We start from the raw sequence: 18,393 nt of genomic DNA on the forward strand, positions 1-18,393 counted from the left end.
TAATAAATTTTTGGTCAGACCAGTTGTCTGCTCTCAAACCCTGTCTCCTGATAAGATGTTATCAATGACAATGCATGCCCAAAACTTCATTAGCAATTTTAATTTCGCCCCGGTCCTGTGGTCCTGTGATCTCACCCTGCCTCCATTTTCCTTGTGATATTCTATTACCTTGTGAAGCATGTGATCTCTGTGACCCACACCCTATTCGTACACTCCCTCCCCTTTTGAAAATCACTAATAAAAACTTGCCAGTTTTACGGCTCAGGGGGCATCACGGAACCTACCGACATGTGATGCCTCCCCCCAATGCCCAGCTTTAAAATTTCTCTCTTTTGTACTCTGTCCCTTTATTTCTCAACCTGGCTGACGCTTAGGTAAAATAGAAAAGAACCTACGTGACTATTGGGGGCAGGCTCCCCAATAATTGACCTGATGGGTGGGCTAGAAACAAGTGCTAATGATTGAATCACTTAGATGAGACTAATTTCATAAGTGTTTGGTTCATTAGTGAGTACATTCATTTACACATTTATTCTAACTGTGGAGTAGCTTGGATCCTGAGCACTTACTTAACAAGAACTCCCTGTACCTATCACAATGGTCTTGAGATTACATATAAAATAAAGGCCCTTTGTCCAGAGGAACGGTAAAGGAGAATTAGTCAAGTATTCTGGTTAACTGATAACTTTGGGTTTCCCTAACCTTTAACCTTCAACTCATGGGAGTAAACAGGGAGTGACAACAACGGACTGTAACAGCCGTCAAAACCCCGTCTCTACTAAATACACAAAAATTAGCTGGGCGTGGTGGTGCCTGCCTGTAATCCCAGCTACTCGGGAGGCTGAGGCAGGAGAATCACTTGAACCAGGGAGTTGGAGGTTGCAGTGAGCCGAGATCCTGCCACTGCACTCCAGCCTGGTGACAGAGTGAGACTCCATCTTAAAAAAAAAGAGTATGAAGCAACAATCTCTTTCTTCTCAAATCAGAATCATAACTAACTCTCACAACCCAATATTCACTTAGTGCTCTATTCCAGTAATTTTCAGTATTTGGTGCCAGTAATTAGACTGGTATTTGCATAAAAGTGTAAAATGTGTCCATTTCTAGAAATTTCTGATTGGCAAAGGGACAAACAAAAAAATTTTGGAGTAGTTCTTTTCCCCACCAGCTATGGAACTTTCTCAATGGACACGTATTGACCGTGGAAATTATCAGGCCTGGTTATAGAAATGTCAATCACTTTTAGCCTTTAAGTTCAAAAACAGCATGAAGAAGGCACTGCTGATATTCTTGGCACTCAGTTGCAATAGAATCATTCTTTCTTTATAGAATTTTAGATGACTTTCAAGTCCATTTCCTTTTCTGACTTTCCTTGACATACTACTTTTTTTGATATACATCTTACAAACTGTCTAATCTGTACTAATTTTATACTTAGGTGATTTCAGAGTTTTAAAAGAGAACCCACACTGATAATATTTTGATCATTTTGGATGGCAATATTTCTGTACAAGTTGAAGCAGCGGTGACAACAGGCTTCTTAAAACACTCTCTTCATATTTTGAGATTATTAAATTTACAAAAATAAATTCTACTTTGCATGGAAAGCTGGGCTCACTTGGTCCTTACAAAAGTTGATTGTTTCCACCAGGTGTGGCAGCTTACATCGGTAATCTCAGCACTTTGGGAGGCCAAGGTGGGTGGATCACAAGGTCAGGAGATCGAGACCATCCTGACCGACACAGTGAAACCCTGTCTCTACTAAAAATACAAAAAATTAGCCGCGTGTGGTGGTGGGCGCATGTATTCCTAGCTACTTGGGAGGCTGAGGCAGGAGAATGGCGTGAACCCAGGAGGCGGAGCTTGCAGTGAGCCGAGATGGAGCCACTGCACTCCAGCCTGGGCAACAGAGTGAGACTCCATCTCAAAAAAAAAAAAAAAGAAAAGAAAAGAAAACTTGATTGTTTCTTTACAGAACTGGCCCAGGTATTGCAGCATATGTGGTTGCCTCCACAGTATTTGAAAGTTATTGAACATGCTGCCTAAATATCTCCCTGAGAGGTATGCTTTATTGTCTAAAATTCTGACTTTGACATTAATTCCTTTAGATCCCAATGTTGCCTAATTAAAATTTGTATACTACCATTGAGAAATGTGGCAGATTGTATTTTCCAAAAATAGCCACAGCAATATTTCTGCTTTCACACACTCTATCAGATCGTTACCACTCCCCATCAAGATTTGGAGCCTCTTTTCATTTTCCTTGAATTGAGGTAGGCTGTTTGGACTGCCTTGGCCAACAAGAAAACAACAGAACAGATGCTGCATGACTTTTGTGACTAGTTCATAAAAGACAATAAAGCTTCTGCCTGGCATGCTCTCTCCCTCTCTCTGTCTCTCTCTTTCTCTCTTTCTCTCTCTATCTCTGTGCTCATCCTTGGAACCCAGACGCCATGTAAGGAAGCCAAGTAGCCACATTGAAAGGCCACATGTAAGTATTCTGGCCATACCAAAGTTGAAGTTCCAGCTCACAGCCAGCATTGAAGCCACACATGTAGGCAAGTGAAGTCTTCAGAAGATTCTGGTACCCAGCCTCCAAGCCACTTGAGCTGCCTCTAGCCAAGTGTAGCAGAAATGAGCTGTCTACATGTCTTCCCAAGTTACAGAATTGATGGTAAAGCAAATGACATCATATCTTTAGTTCACTTCGTTTTGGGGCTTTTTTTTTTTCAATTTTTGGTGTTTTGTTTTGTTTTTATGTAGCCATTGATAACCAAAATAGGACTAACACATTATATTGGTACAAGTTAGTTTTTTAGATTAGCTATTTTGTAGCAGATATAAGAACCATGGGGATGATAGCATGGTACAGATAAGATTTAATGAAGAGATTTTTCTACTTATGGTGAGATTTTTCTACTTATGGTGAGTCGACCTGGCAGGGATGGGAAACGGGGGAGAGAAGAGAGATGGCAGGATGGCAAGAGGAGAATATAAGTAAGAATTTCCAAAAACAAATTCTTTGGATGGGGAGTATAGATTAGTATTCCATATTTTAGAGCAATAAGACTTTTTAAAAATAAACATGCAATGCCTAGTTATACTTACCATTATCAGTAATTTTCAAGACGAATTTTTCATTCCATGTTTTATGAAGTAGCCAAGACTCCAAACTATCTACAGCAGAGTTTTCCATACCACTTCCACATATAACAAGCATTTTAGAGGAAAACAACCTTCTACAACCCCTTTCCTCTACACCAGGAAAGCTCAAGTTATCCACAGACTTCAATGTATATGACTTATTGTTCTCAGGAAACTGTTATGACTTCTTTCTATGTAATACACACACACACACACACACACACCTCGGTATATAACTATATATATAAAAAGAATCCCATACACACATATTTTTAACCTCAGTGATGATAGAATACAATAGTGTTGCAAAATAATAAACAAATGGATATAGCAAATGATTTACCTTACTAATTGCTATTTAGTTTAATACTGTCATTATGGCATAATTTCCCTGGAGACAAATCAATTATAAAATGCAGGGGTTTCAAAATCCATCCAAAAAAAATCATAACAAGAAAAAAAAACTGCATGAAAAGTTACTATAGAGAAACTTAAAATGATCTAAAAAATACATGAAGCAAAAACTCATGGAATTGAAAGGTAAAATAGACAATTCCACAATAAAAGCTGGATACTTTATACTCTGCTTTTAATGATGAATAAAACAATTATGCAGAAGATTTAACAGGAAACCGAAGACTTGAACAACACCATAAGTGAATTAGACCTAACATACATCTAGAATACTCCACCCAACAACAGCAAAATACACATTCTTATTATTATTATTATTATTATTATTATTATTATTATTATTAATAGAGATGTGGTCTTGCTGTGCTGCTCAGCTGGTCTCGAACTCTTGTCCTCAAGTGATTCTCTGCCACAGCCTCTCAAAATGCTGGGATTATAAGTGTGACCCACTGTACCCAGCCAGTACACATTCTTCTAAGGCACAAATAGAACATTTTTCAGAATAAACCATAGACTAGGTCATAAGCCAGGTCTCAATAAATGTAAAGGAATTAAAATCATACAAAATATATTCTCCAACTACAAAGAAATAAAATTAGAAAATAACAATGAGAGAAAGTTTGAGACATCTACAAAATAATTGAAAATTAAACAAGAGACTCTCAAACAACCAATGGGACAGAGAAAAAATTTAAATTTGAAAATCCCATGTGATGAATGAAAATAAAAACAACATACCAAAGCTTATAGATGCAACTAAAGAAGTGCTCAGAGGGAAATTTATAGCTTTAAATGCTTTTTTTAAAAAAAATCTCCACTCAACAATGTCATCTTCCACTAAAATCAAAGCAAAACCAAGGATGGAAATAATAAGGTTAAAATGAAAATAAATAAAGTAGAGAAGAGAAAAACACTGAGCAGATTTTTAAAAACACAAAAATTGTTTGCAAAGATGAACTAAAATGACAAACCTTGGCTAGGAATGGTGGCTCACACCTGTAATCCCAGCACGTTGGGAAGCCAAGGCAGTAGGATCACCTGAGGTCAGGAGTTTGAAACCAGTCTGCCCAACATGGTGAAACCCCATCTCTACTAAAAAATACAAAAATTAGCTTGTCATGGTGGTGCGCACCTGTAATCCCAGCTACTCGGGAGGCTGAGGCACAAGAATCACTTGAACCCAGGAGGTGGAGGCTGCAGTGAGCTGAGATCATGCCACCGCACTCCAGCATGGGCAACAGAGTGAGACTCCATCAAAAAAAAAAAAAAAAACCCACAAACTTAACTAAATTGGCCAGAAAAAAATAAAATTCAAATTACAAAAATCAGGAATGAAAGAGGGATATCACAACCAACCTCAATAAAATAAAAAGAATTACAAAGAAATAATATTCACAACTATACACTAACAAGTTAGATAACTTGGATGAAATAGAAAAATTTCTAGAAACACACAAACTTTCAAAATTAACTCAAAAAGAAATATAAAATCTGAATAACCTTACAATAATTAAATATAATAAGTTTAGTAATTTTAAAACTTTCCATGAGAAAAGTCCATGTCGAGATGGCATCACTGGTGAATTCTATCAAGCATTTAAAAAAGAATCAATACCAATGTGGTTCATTACGCAAAAATCAGTGTAATACACCACATTAAGAGAATGAAGGGGAAAAAACTGTATGATCATCTCAATTGAGGCAGAAAGAGCATTTGACAAAACTGAACACTCATGATGAAATCACTCAACAAACTAGGAATTTAAAAAATTACTTTCCCATAACAAACCATAAATGAAAATCCCACAGCTGACTTCATATTCAGTGGTTGAAAGACTAAAAGTTTATTCTCTTATATCAGGAAAAATTGCCTGCTTTCAATATTCCACATAGTCCTAGTAAGAACAATTAGACAAGAAAAATAAATAAAAGGCATTTTTGATGGTCAATTTAATGTGTCAACTTGACTGAGCTAAGGAATACAAAGATAGCTGATAAAATATTATTTCTGGTGTGTCTGTGGGGGTGTTTCTGGAAGAGATTAGCATTTGAACCGGTAGACTGAGTAAAGAAGATCTGCCCTTACCAGTGTAGGTAGGCATCATCTAATCTGTTGAGGGACTGAACTGAACAAAAAGGCAGAAGGGACAATTCGCTCTTTCTTCTTGAGATGGGACATCCATTTTTCTCTTGCCCTCAAATATCAAAGCTCCTGGTTCTCAGGTCTTTGGACTGTAGCCTTACACCAGTTTTCCTCCCATCTTTGGTTCTCAGGCCTTCAGACTCAGATTGGGAGATACACCATTAGCTTCCCTCTTTCTCAGACCTTCAGATATGAACTGAATTACAACACTGGCTTTCTTGTATCTCCAGCTTGCAGACTGCTGTCTGCAAGATCATGGGACTTTTCAGCCTCCATAATCATATGAACCAACTCTAATTTTACATATTATGTAAATTCACATTTTATACATATGTAATATATATTTATATATATATTTTATTAGTACTGTTTCTCTAAAGAACCCTGATTAATACAGCATTCGAATTAGAAATAAAGGCCAGGCGCAGTGGTTCATGCCTGTAATCCCAGCATTTTGGGAGGCCAAGGTGGGTGGGTCACCTGAGGTCGGGAGTTTGAGACCAGCCTGGCCAACATGGCAAAACCCCATCTCTACTAAAAATACAAAAATTAGCCAGGCGTGGTGGTGCATGTCTATAATCCCAGCTACTTAGGAGGCTGAGGCGGAGGCTGCAGTGAGTTGAAATCGCACCACTGCACTCCAGCCTGGGCAAAACTCTGTCTCAAAAACAAACAAACAAAAAAACAAACTGGAAACTAAAAAGTAAAATTATCTTAGTTTTATGATTTTATATATAGAAAACTCTAAAGAGGCCATGAAAATATTATAATTAAGGGGCTTGGCACAGTTGCTTATGCCTGTAATCCCAGCAGTTTGGAAGGCCGAGGCAGGCGGATCACTTGAGGACCGGAGTTAAAGACCAGCCTGGCCAACATGGTGAAATCCCGTCTCTACTAAAAATACAAAAAATTAGCCAGGCATGGTGGCACATACCCGTAGTCCCAGCTACTCGGGAGGCTGAGGCAGGAGAATCACTTGAACCAGGTAGGTAGAGGTTGCAGTGAGCCGATATCACACCACTGTACTCCAGCCTGGGCGACAGAGTAAGACCCTATCTCAAAAAATAAATAAATAAATAAATAAAATAAGATAAGATAAAAAGAACATATGCAAGTCAATAAATGTGATACACCACATAAACAGAATTAAAAACAAAAATTACATGATCATCTCAATAGATGCAGAAAAAGCATATGACAAAATCCAGCATCCCTTTATGATTAAAACTCAGCAAAATCGGCATACAAGGGACATACTTTAATGTAATAAAAGCCATTTATGACAAACCCACAGCTAACATAATACTGTAATATTGAATGGAGAGAAGTTGAAAGCATTCCCTCTGAGACCGGGAACAAGACAAGGACGCCCACTCTCACCACTCCTCTTCAACACAGTACTGGAAGTCCTAGCCAGGACATTCAGACAGCAGAAAGAAATAAAGGGCATCCAAATCAGTAAAGAGGAAGTCAAACTGTCACTGTTTCCTGACGATATGACTGTTTACTTTGAAAACCCTAAAGACTACTCCAGAAAGCTGCTAGAACGGATAAAAAGAATTCAGCAAAGTTTCCAGATACAAGATTAATGTACACAAATTGGTAGCTCTTCTATACACCAACAGCAACCAAGCTGAGAATCAAATCAAGAACTTAACCCCTTTTACAATAGCTGCAAAAAAAAATTAAATACTTAGGAATATACCTAACCAAAGAGTCAAAAAACCCCTACAAGGAAAACTACCCAACACTGCTGAAAGAAATCATAGACGACACAAACAAATGGAAACACATCCCATGCTCATGGATGGGTAGAATCAATATTGTGAAAATGACCATACTGCCAAAAGCAATCTATAAATTCAATGCAATCCCCATCAAAATACCACCATAATTCTTCACAGAATTAGAAAAAACAACTCTAAAATTAATATGGAATCAAAAAAGAGAATGCACAGCCAAAGCAAGACTAAGCAAAAAGAACAAATCTGAAGGCATCACACTACCTGATTTCAAACTACATCATAAGGCCGTAGTCACCAAAACAGCGTGGTACTGGTATAAAATAGGCACATATACCAATGGAACAGAATAGAGAACCCAGAAACCCAAATACAGCCAACTGATCTTTGACAAAGCAGACAAAAACATAAAGTGGGGAAAGGAGACCCTTTTCAACAAATGATGCTGGGATAATTGGCTAGCCACATGTAAGAGAATGAAACTGGATCCTCATCTCTCACCTCATACAAAAATCAACTCAAGATGAATCAAAGACTTAAACCTAAGACCTGAAGCTATAAAAATTCTGAAGATAACATTAGAAAAAGCCTTCTAGACTTTGGCTTAGGCAAGGATTTCATGACCAAGAACCCAAGCGCAAATGCAATAAAAACAAAGATAAATAGCTGGGACCTAATTAAACTAAAGAGCTTTTGCACGGCAAAAGGAACAGTCAGCAGAGTAAACGGACAACCCACAGAGTGGGAGAAAATCTTCACAATCTGTACATCTGACAAAGGACAAATATCCAGAATCTACAATGAACTCAAACAAATCAGTAAGAAAAAAACAATCTCATCAAAAAGTGGGCTAAGGACATGAATAGACAATTCTCAAAAGAAGATATACAAATGGCCAACAAACATATGAAAAAGAAAAAATGCTTAACATCACTAATGGTCAGGGAAACGCAAATCAAAACCACAATGCAATACCACCTTACTCCTGCAAGAATGACCATAATCAAAAAATCAAAAAACAGTAGATGTTGGCATGGATGCGGTTATCAGGGAACGCTTCTACAGTGTTGGTGGGAATGTAAACTAGTATAGCCACTATGGAAAACAGTGTGGAGATTCCTTAAAGAACTAAAGGTAGAACTACCATTTGATCCAGCAATCCCACTACTGGGTATCTACCCAGAGGAAAAGAAGTCATTATTCGAAAAAGAAACTTGCACACACGTTTATAGCAGCACAATTCACAACTGCAAAACCGTGGAACCGACCCAAATGCCCAACAGTCAATGAGTGGATAAAGAAACTGTGACATATATATGTATTTACACAATGGAATACTACTCAGCCATAAAAAGGAATGAATTAACAGCATTTGCAGTGACCTGGATGAGATTGTAGATTATTATTCTAAGTGAGGTAACTCAGGAATGGCAAACCAAATATTGTATGTCTTCACTGATATGTGGGAGCTAAGCTATGAGGACACAAAGGTATGTAAGAATGATACAATGATACAATGGACTCTGGGGACTTGGGGGGAAGAGTGTGAGATGGGTGAGGGATAAAAGACTACAAATACGGTGCAGTGTATACTGCTCAGGTGATGGGTGCACCAAAATATCACAAATTACCATGAAAGAACGAAAGAACTTACTCATGTAACCAAATACCACCTGTACCCCAATAACTTATGGAAGAATAAAAAATAAAAATAAAATTTTGGTTTTGTTTTTGGATAGAGAAAAAAAATTTTATGAGTTTTACTGATGGAGACTTCTTATTCTCTGCTTATTTTAACTGTCATTACCATACTGTATATTAGATTCCCTGAACAGTAGAAAGGTGATTGTTAGGGCTGGGAGTGGGGGAAATGGGGAGATATTAAAGCATAAAAACTTTCAGTGATAAGATGAATAATGCAACATTTTTGTGGGAGAGAGATGAATTAGAGGGCTGCTTCTCATGAACTGGGGGTTGGTGGAGGGCAGAGAAACTGAGACTCTCTGTTCCACAGTGGACATTTTATTTGTTTTGATATTCACAAGATGTCCTTAGGAGTTCCACTGTTTTTTTTTTTTAAAAAAAAAAAAGAAAGAAAATTTGAAACTGCAGCAATAATTAATTATTGGCCCAAGAGGGCTTTTTAATATCATATCCTTCACCAGAAACTTCATAATAGGCCCTTTTCCTTTTTAAAATGCTTATTGTTAAGGGACTTATGTGCTAGTGAGTATTTGAACAAGTTAGCCCTTAATTACTCAAAATAGTTCAAAATTTATTGTGAAATGATTGTCTAAAAATTAATAGTTGTCAGGCACGGTGGCTCATACCTGTAATCCCAGTGCTTTGAGAGGCCAAAGTGGGAGGATCACTTGAGCCCAGGAGTTCAAGACCAGCCTGGGTAACATAGTGAAACACTGTATCTACAAAATAAAATAAAACAAAAATTAGCCAGGCATGATGGTGCATGCCTGTAGTCCTACCTACTGGGGAGGCTGAGGCAGAAGGATCACAAGGAGTTTGAGGTTACAGTGAGTTAATGATTGTTCCACTGCACTCCAGCCTGGATGACAGAGCAAGACCCTGTCTCAAAAAGAATATATATATATTATATATAAAATATACATGTATATATAAAATATACATATATATATAATATATGTATAATATATTATATAATATATATTATATATGTATAATATATTATATAATATATATTATATATGTATAATATATTATATAATATATATTATATAATGTATAATATACATGTATATTATATAATATATATTTTATATAATATATAATATACATGTATATTATATATAATATTTATATAATATATAATATATAATATACATGTATATTATATATTATATATAATATATAATATACATGAATAATATATATAATACACATATATTATATATTATATATAATATACATATATTTTATATATAATACACATATTATATATTATATACATATATAATATATAATATACATATATATTATATGTATATATAAAATATATATAATATACATAATATGTATATAATCTATTATATATATTATATATAATATATATGTGTATTATATATGTATATTATATATAACATATACAATATATGTGTATTATATATTATATATGTATATCATATATAATATATAATATATAATATATGTGTATTATATATAATATGTATATTATATATATACATATATATCAATAGTGAAGTCTAAAACAGTGAATTCAGTTGAGCAGAGCAAAGTGCAACTAAGCAATAAAATTCTGAGCTTAGTTTTCATAGGTAGATAAAATAGCATTTCTTTGTTCATGAACTTGAAATCATTTCATAAACACATGCCATTAAGAAAACATTTCTGGAGAAGTAATTCCAGAAGGGAATGTGAGACGTGCAATGGGAAACAACAGGAGAATGAAAAGTCTTGAGCTTAGTCCTAACTCATGATCCACAAGCCAAGCGACCTTGAGTAAATTATTGAACCTCTCTGGCTTTATTGTTCTCTCCCAAAAAAATATGGGCCACAATCTGTTATAGACTGAACTGTATCCCCCTAAAATTCATATGTTGAAGCCCTGACTTCCAATGTGACTCTATTTGAAACCAGGGCCTTTAAACACATAATTGAGATAAATCCCATATAATTGGCATCCTTACAAGAAGAGACACCCACAGACCATGTGAAGACAGAGTAAGAAGGTGGCCATCTGCAAGCCAAGAAGAGACCTCAGAAGAAACCACACTTAATGACACCTTGGTCTTGGTCTTCCCGCCTCCAGATCTGCAACAGAATAAATTTCTGTTGTTTAAGCCACTCAGTCTATGGAATTTTGTTTGGCAACCCTAGCAAACTAATACATAAACCCTGTCCTGAAAATCTGGCAAGGATTCTGGAAAGATTGCATGACAAAATAAATGTGAAAGTCCTTCGTAAACTACAAAATTTACCAAAAAGAGAAGGTACCATTCTCTCTCATGGGATCATCATTTGCCTTCATGCATAAGGGACAATCCACTTAAGGAAAACATAAGACCAAAGAAAAAACAAAAATATTGGTTTATGTTTATTAGCTGATTTGTATTAGGTCAACTTTTCCCAGTTTATGTGGTCTTAGGAGATGAAGTCCACTTTATGGTCAGAACAACAGGAAGACTAATGTTATTGTAAGGACAAAGACCCTGATAAAATTGCCCATTTATTGATGTCAGCAGTGCCATGGGTTGTAATTTATTTCTCTCTAGGAAGATGACTTATTTCTACAGAAAATAATAACATCTAACATTTGTTGAGCACTTACATGTACTTTTTTCCACCTATTAGCTCAATTAATCCTTACAACAACATTTTGGGTAGTACTGTTATTCACAATATGAAGATCTTGAGGCTAAAACTTGTAAGTAGAGAAACTGGGATCCAGACTGTAGTCGGTCCCTTAGCGCCTCAGCCAAATCGCTGCTATTAGTTATTAGAAGTTCTTCTATAAGGCCAGGAATTACAGAAAATTTCATACAAAAATCTGCACCAATGTGATTTGGCACTATTACCCCTTCCAAGTATTTTCGCACCCACACATACTGTGTTTATCATTACATGATGGAAATATATATTTCCATTAAAAATAGAAACATTCATAAGGTACCTAAAAATTTTATTCTATTTGACCTAAATCTATGCATGGGTGACTTCCAACAAAAGCTAGATATTTTAAGGGGGCTTGAACAAACTGATGTGCTGTTCCATCATATTTTCACTACATAAGGGTACATAAAATTCATGTTTTTACTTATCAGTCTTACTTCAATACTGATGTAAAGCTCCTAAACTTGACAAGTGAGAATATTTTAAATCAGGGAGAGACCTTTGAATAATTTGAAACTAAAAATCAGGCATAAAAAATCGCTACAGAAAACAAAAACATTTATAAAACATTTTGTGATCATTCTTAACATCTACTCAGAGAATTTTAAGCATGCTAAATACATAGAATTTCTGCTCTTTTGTGTTGTTTGCTTCCATTGTAGTCTGTATTTGAATAGAAGCTTCTATAACAATACAGCTGACTGAGTGTAAATCGACTAGTGTCAATTAAATTGACCAGTGTCATATGAGGCTTCAGATTGTTCCAGCAGTCAGATACATCTTTAACCTGCTGGTTCCTTCCTGACATCATTTAAACAGGCACATAACTAGCTCATCTTTGAAAAGCAAACTCTCTTTCTCATCACCATGTCCACCCTCTGGCCATTGCCTCTACCCCTTATAGTCAAGTTCATTGCAAGAATGGCTTATATACTCATTGGTTTCATATTCTTTCTTTCTTGTTCATACTGTTTTATCCTCTCTGCAGCATCAGATACTGGTGCTCACTCTCTCCTTGAAACACTGTCTCCTCATTCCTGTAACATCCTCTCTCCTTATTTCCCTCTTCTGTCTCTCTCTTCTCCTAGATTCCCTTTGGAGACTCCTTTTCCCTAGATTCTCTCTTCAGATTTATCATCTTCAACTCTCCTGAACTGATCTATTTCCATGACTCAAATCACCCCCTATTTCTGATGAGTCCCAAAGATACCTGCAGCAACAAATGTTTCTCTAGCTGCCTTTTCAACACCTCCACCTGGAAGTCCCTCAGACATCTTGAACTTAAAGTTTTCCTCCAGCAAACCCAGTCTTTTTTCTGTATTCTCTGATAAATACATGAATAGAACCCCAATTCAAACTTTTGCTAAAGTTCAATGCAAACTTCTGTTTTTTCCTAGGTTAAGGCAATGACCTTTAAACTGTTCTTCCTGCCTCCAGTCTTGGCCCATCTCTCCAATCTTCACCCTGATGCCAAGTGGTCATCCCAAATCACATACCCAATTGTGGTGTTCTTTTTAAATTCCATGGTTGGTTCCCCAAAGTCTGCAAAGTCCAACATTTCAAGAATGGTATACATGGTATACATGGCCCCTCAACATGAGCAACTGCTTCTCTCCCCAGTTTCACTGCTAAACCACCTCCCTCCATAGCCTCTGTACTTTAGCCAGAGTAATCTCTATTTCATTTGCAGAAATCAGTTTATTCTCTCTTTCGATTGTGCCTTTGCATATACTGTTGATTTTGTCTGCAATGCCCTTTGCACCAGCCTCTTCACTTGGCTAAATCCCTAAAAAACTCAGATCAGGAGTCACAGTATCTTGGAAGACTTCTACAAAGATCCCTTCCCTTCACTCCTTCCCTGACCCCCCTGATTTTGTTTAAGTCTTCTTGTGTGTTCCCCTGATACCCTATGCATGGCTCTGTCATAGCACTTATTTTTATGGTTATTCATGCATTTCTCTGGAAAGTTTTTTATTTGTTTTGCTTTGTTTTGTTTGATTTGAAGACAAACTGTAATGTGGAATACATTACCCTAACTTGGGTGTTTTTCCTCCACACTCACCCACCAACCCTTGGAATGCCAAGGGAGGGCTCCTCACTGCCCTCTACCAGCCATAGAACCTGAAAGCCACGAAGAGGCTCTGACCCTACCAACAGTACAGGCAGTGAAAAACAACCTTGGGATGTACTAATTATTAGAAAACTGAGGTTTGGGGAGAGAAAAGAGAAAAGGGTTGGCAAAATCAGAGAGGGGGATAAAAGAGTTAAAAGGCTAGAAAGATAAGGAAGGTAGTAACGTGAAACAAGGAAGGCCTTAAGTCCAATTCTCAACTCCGCCAAAACGTTTTGTGTACATGGGGTGTGTGTGTGTGTGTGTGTGTGTGTGTGTGTGTTTGGGTGTGTGTGTGTGTTTGCTTTTGGGGGAGGAAGGTTAGCAACCTAGGCAGAAACCTGGATAAGAAAGGAAATTGTTCTTGCCTTCCCATTCCTTCTCCTTCCAAAGCAGGAGACAACAGAGACACCTGCAGTGTTGGCTTCTGACTGGAGGACAATGACCCAGCTGATCCTTCTGACGTCTTACGTTCACAGAGAACAGCAGCCAACACATCCTGTGGCTCAAAAGCTGTAGCAGCATTTTTTATCTGGGATTACAAAATACAATGGTCTGGCACTTACAAAGTTCTCAAGAAATACTTGTTGATAGACAAACAAAGTAAACAGTCAACATGGGCAAAATGTTGATTATTGAAGCTGGGTAATGAGACTTAAATGTTCTGAAATAGAAACTTTTTAAAAAACTGCAGAAAAATCCAAATTCAAGTTTTGTGTGAAGTATATTTAGTAAATAGTAAACAGTTACTAAACATGAGATATATAAAATATCCCACATTTCTGAAGAGAATAAAAATATCAGAGTTGTCAAAGGCAGGTGTGTTTAAGTTCAGCACGATGACCTGGCACATGGGAAACATATAATAAATGCAAACCCTATATAGTACGTTTTTGGCTGGTCTTGGCTTTAAGCTTTGTACTCAACAGAGTCTAAAGCCATTAGAGAACAGAGGATCCCCCTCTAATGTGACCCAGTGCCTTTATATAGCAGTGGTTACTTGATGAGTCAAAAATTTAGTTTTTCATGAAATATATAGTAAAACCTCAATTAATTGGAAGGGGTTACTTTATCTGAGTATAGAAGTGGTAGCTAGAACCTCTGAGTAGAAGGATATTCATGGAATTGTTAATCTATGTTTTTTATGTATCCTTCTCTGTCTTTCTCCTCCCAACCATACTTAATTTCACTGGTGTCCCATAAACTAATAAAGAATTAAAGGAGCCACTGACAAGCAAGTTAACTTCAAATGAATAAGATAGACTAGATGCACTAGAGAACAGCTAGAGAAGTGGAGGAGGCTGTAATGCACAGTTACAGGAAGGATCAGAAAGCAGAAGGGAACTCAGCTGAGATCTTTTTGACCCTCACTTCCTTGGCCCTTATCATAGTTGGACAAGGCTACACACAAAAGTACCAGACATTTATTAGGGAGCCTGAAAAGAGGGTAAGGTGATTGGACATTGTGTGCAGGAGGGAAGGCACAGACTCCCACATCTCCAAGATGGAAACAAACAAAGCCAACCGGGAATTTCCCTGTGAGTCAGGGCAGTATTTGACACACCACCACTGTTTTATACCTGCTTGTTATAATCTTTGTTGTTGAAAGGCATGTCTACAGCCTACCATGCGGAGAATATGATTACATCTTCCCGTTACTGCCTGGATTCTTGCCCAGCCTCAAGGCCATTATTCTGACCATTAGTTCTTGTTGTACTTAACTGTTAATGGAGAAGAAGGTATGAGGATAGGAATTGAATACATCATTGAGCCTAGAATATACCCCCAGAAGTCAGTCATTTAACAAATTTTCAATAGGAATTCATGATTAAATCCACACTTCTTTAAAAATAAAATCATAGTTAACGAAGGGCTCATTATCTTTATTTTACAAGAGTGGATAACTGAGTATTACATTTCCACATTTTGCTAATTAGGTCTTTTCAATTATTTAAATGATGGTCTATATTCTAACATTTTGAAATGAAAATGGCAGAGGGGGTTAAGGGAGGAAGAAAAGTAAAGAATTTCAATTTGACTTGATTTATATTTAATTAATGTCTCTCCAGTACTAGTGAAATATTTTTATGTGAGAGATTTTAATAAAAAGTAAAAATATTCTAATGTACGAGAAAATACTGTATTATATAAACAATGATATATTACCTAAAAGCCCTCAAGTGAAAATTTCAAGTATAAAAACGTATAGAAATTAATACATGCAATTTAGATATTTTTATCTGTGTTAAATAAACAGTTCTAATACTCTGATTATCCTTCTAGGCTGAAAACAGAAGACTAGTCTGATAACAGAGAAAACACATCAAAGTGTGTTTAAGCAAGATATTTAAAAAGAAATAGTAATTTAATACTAAGGGCTACCATTTATCAAGAAATCTACTGTGATCTGGGAATAGTGACTACCTCTTTATGCACTTTCTATTATTTAATCCTCTTCATAACCCCATGAATAATGTATTTTTTACTTCTCATTGTTGAGAAAAGAAAATGTGATTAAATAACTTGCTGAAAGTCACATAACAAGTTATGAGCTATTCCTGGATATGAATATAAGTTTATTTTATTCTAAAGTCTATGTGTTTATATTGCCCACAGGTTACATGTTCTACAAGGACGGGTACCAGTCTAATTTGTTCTCCACTGGCCTATGCTATGTGTTCAATAAATATTAGTTAATTTATTCGTGCTTTTGATTGCTATAAAGAATTTTTTTTTTTTTAGACCAAGTCTTGCTCTGTTGCCCAGGCTGGAGTGCAGTGGCACCATCTCGGCTCACTGCAACCTCTACCTCCCAGGTTCAAGCGATTCTCCTGCCTCAGCCTCCCGAGTAGCTGGGATTACAGGCACGTGCCACCATGCCCAGCTAATTTTTGTATTTTCAGTAGAGACGGGGTTTCACCATGTTGGCCAGGTTGGTCTCAAACTCCTGACCTCAGGTAATCCACCCGCCTCTGCCTCCCAAAGTGCTGGGATTATAGGTGTGGGCCACCGCGCCCAGCCTGCCATAAAGATTTTATGATTTTTTAGCCATTTTTTTTAAAAATTGTGCATATACATTCCTAATTTTAGGAATTAGGAATAATAGGAACTAAAAGCCAAAAGGAGAAACTACATTTATAAACTCACACATTACAGCAAAAAGTATTTTTAAATAAAATCACTTGTTAAAGGTTATAAATTGCCAATTTATATTCACTAGGTAAGCTTTTATTTTCAAAAGGAACAAAGGCCTCTTCCCCATTTGAGCCCCAGTTTCTTAAACTGACCTGATTATGTGGCTAAGGTATTATTGTGAGGTATTGATGTTTTCTCCTGTTTTTCCTTCCCCTTCCTCCCCACCCCTTTTCCCCCTTTCCAGAGTTTTGTTCTGTGGCATTGCCTTGGGTAAGTACACGGCAGGGCAAATAGCAGAGTGACGGCAAATCTTTCAGATTTTCACTTTTTCAAAGTAAGAGAGACCGAACTGGGGCCATGAGAACAGAGACATCCAACTACTGTGTAATTCATAAGAGTTTAGAAATGACTCCTTGTGCACCCTTTTTCAGGCCCTTTTACAAATGGACTTTTCTCACTTGTGATGATCTGGGAGAGTGAGAGTGAGGAGAGTCTAAGAAGAGTTCAGGCTAATTATTTTCCCACTAATCTGGCATAGGAGAGGCTCACAGAGATTAAATTCATTATGGTAAATACAAAGAGTAATACTGCTTTACACTCGGGTCTGTAGACTGAGATTCACACTCACCACAATTATTCCTGTTAACAGTCTGCCACATACCTTTCATTTTAAGCAACTGAAAAATTGTACCAACTTTTCTCTTTAAATTTGCTTTAAAAGCAAATTCAGAAAATTGGTAGAGGGTCAAGAAATTACACAGTCCAACTCCATTATTTGATAAATTGTATAAAAAGCAAACTAAGGCAAGAATCAACTGACTTCCAAAGTTCACGAAGAGAGCACTCTGGAAGTTGATAAACCACCAAACCATATAAATTCCACCACCTCTTTATCTGTAATTAAAAATCAAAGGTTGACTTTTTTTTTTTTAACTACTCACTGTATTTTTAGAAAGATGGGGCAGAACCACTGTAGAACTCCTAAACCCCACAGAACAAACAGTACATTCTGGAATGATACGCCGGCCAATCCGGCTGGCAGCCGATTGACCTGACCCAGGCGAGGGTTGCTGCACCGAGTATTTAGTTTGGCCCCCTACTGAATGAAGACACTTTGTTAAATTCTCCAATGAGAGACGCTTAGAGGTAGGGGCGTGGAAGGGGGCCGGGGAATTTGAGGCCAGATAACGGGAAGTGTGAGCCGATTGGCCGGACTTCTCACTCCACGGCCCAGCCGTTTACGGATCGCGGAGGCCATCCATCAAAAGAATTACACCAATCAGCGGCGAAAATGCCCCCTTCTCGCGAGAAAGCCCCGC

At 37.0% G+C, this 18,393-nt stretch overlaps 1 long non-coding RNA gene across 1 annotated transcript in view, besides 2 other annotated features; it reads right to left on the reverse strand.

Moving 5' to 3' along the window:
• The window catches only part of LOC105377700 (uncharacterized), a 348,217-nt gene extending 330,062 nt beyond the window's left edge, over positions 1 to 18,155 (reverse strand). Inside the window, exon 1 of the long non-coding RNA XR_001742962.3 lies at positions 18,016 to 18,155. This is a non-coding gene — a long non-coding RNA (uncharacterized LOC105377700). The remainder of the gene's footprint in view (positions 1 to 18,015) is intronic.
• Positions 18,033 to 18,082: an enhancer, noted in NCBI's record as "active region_23575". NCBI's record gives its function as "activates an Ori minimal core promoter by ATAC-STARR-seq in GM12878 lymphoblastoid cells {active_cell/tissue: GM12878}" and the evidence as "EXISTENCE:reporter gene assay evidence [ECO:0000049][PMID:35858748]".
• Positions 18,273 to 18,352: a silencer, noted in NCBI's record as "silent region_16589". NCBI's record gives its function as "represses an Ori minimal core promoter by ATAC-STARR-seq in GM12878 lymphoblastoid cells {active_cell/tissue: GM12878}" and the evidence as "EXISTENCE:reporter gene assay evidence [ECO:0000049][PMID:35858748]".

The sequence above is a fragment of the Homo sapiens genome, chromosome 5 (genome assembly GCF_000001405.40).
Source record: "Homo sapiens chromosome 5, GRCh38.p14 Primary Assembly".
NCBI lineage: Eukaryota > Metazoa > Chordata > Mammalia > Primates > Hominidae > Homo > Homo sapiens.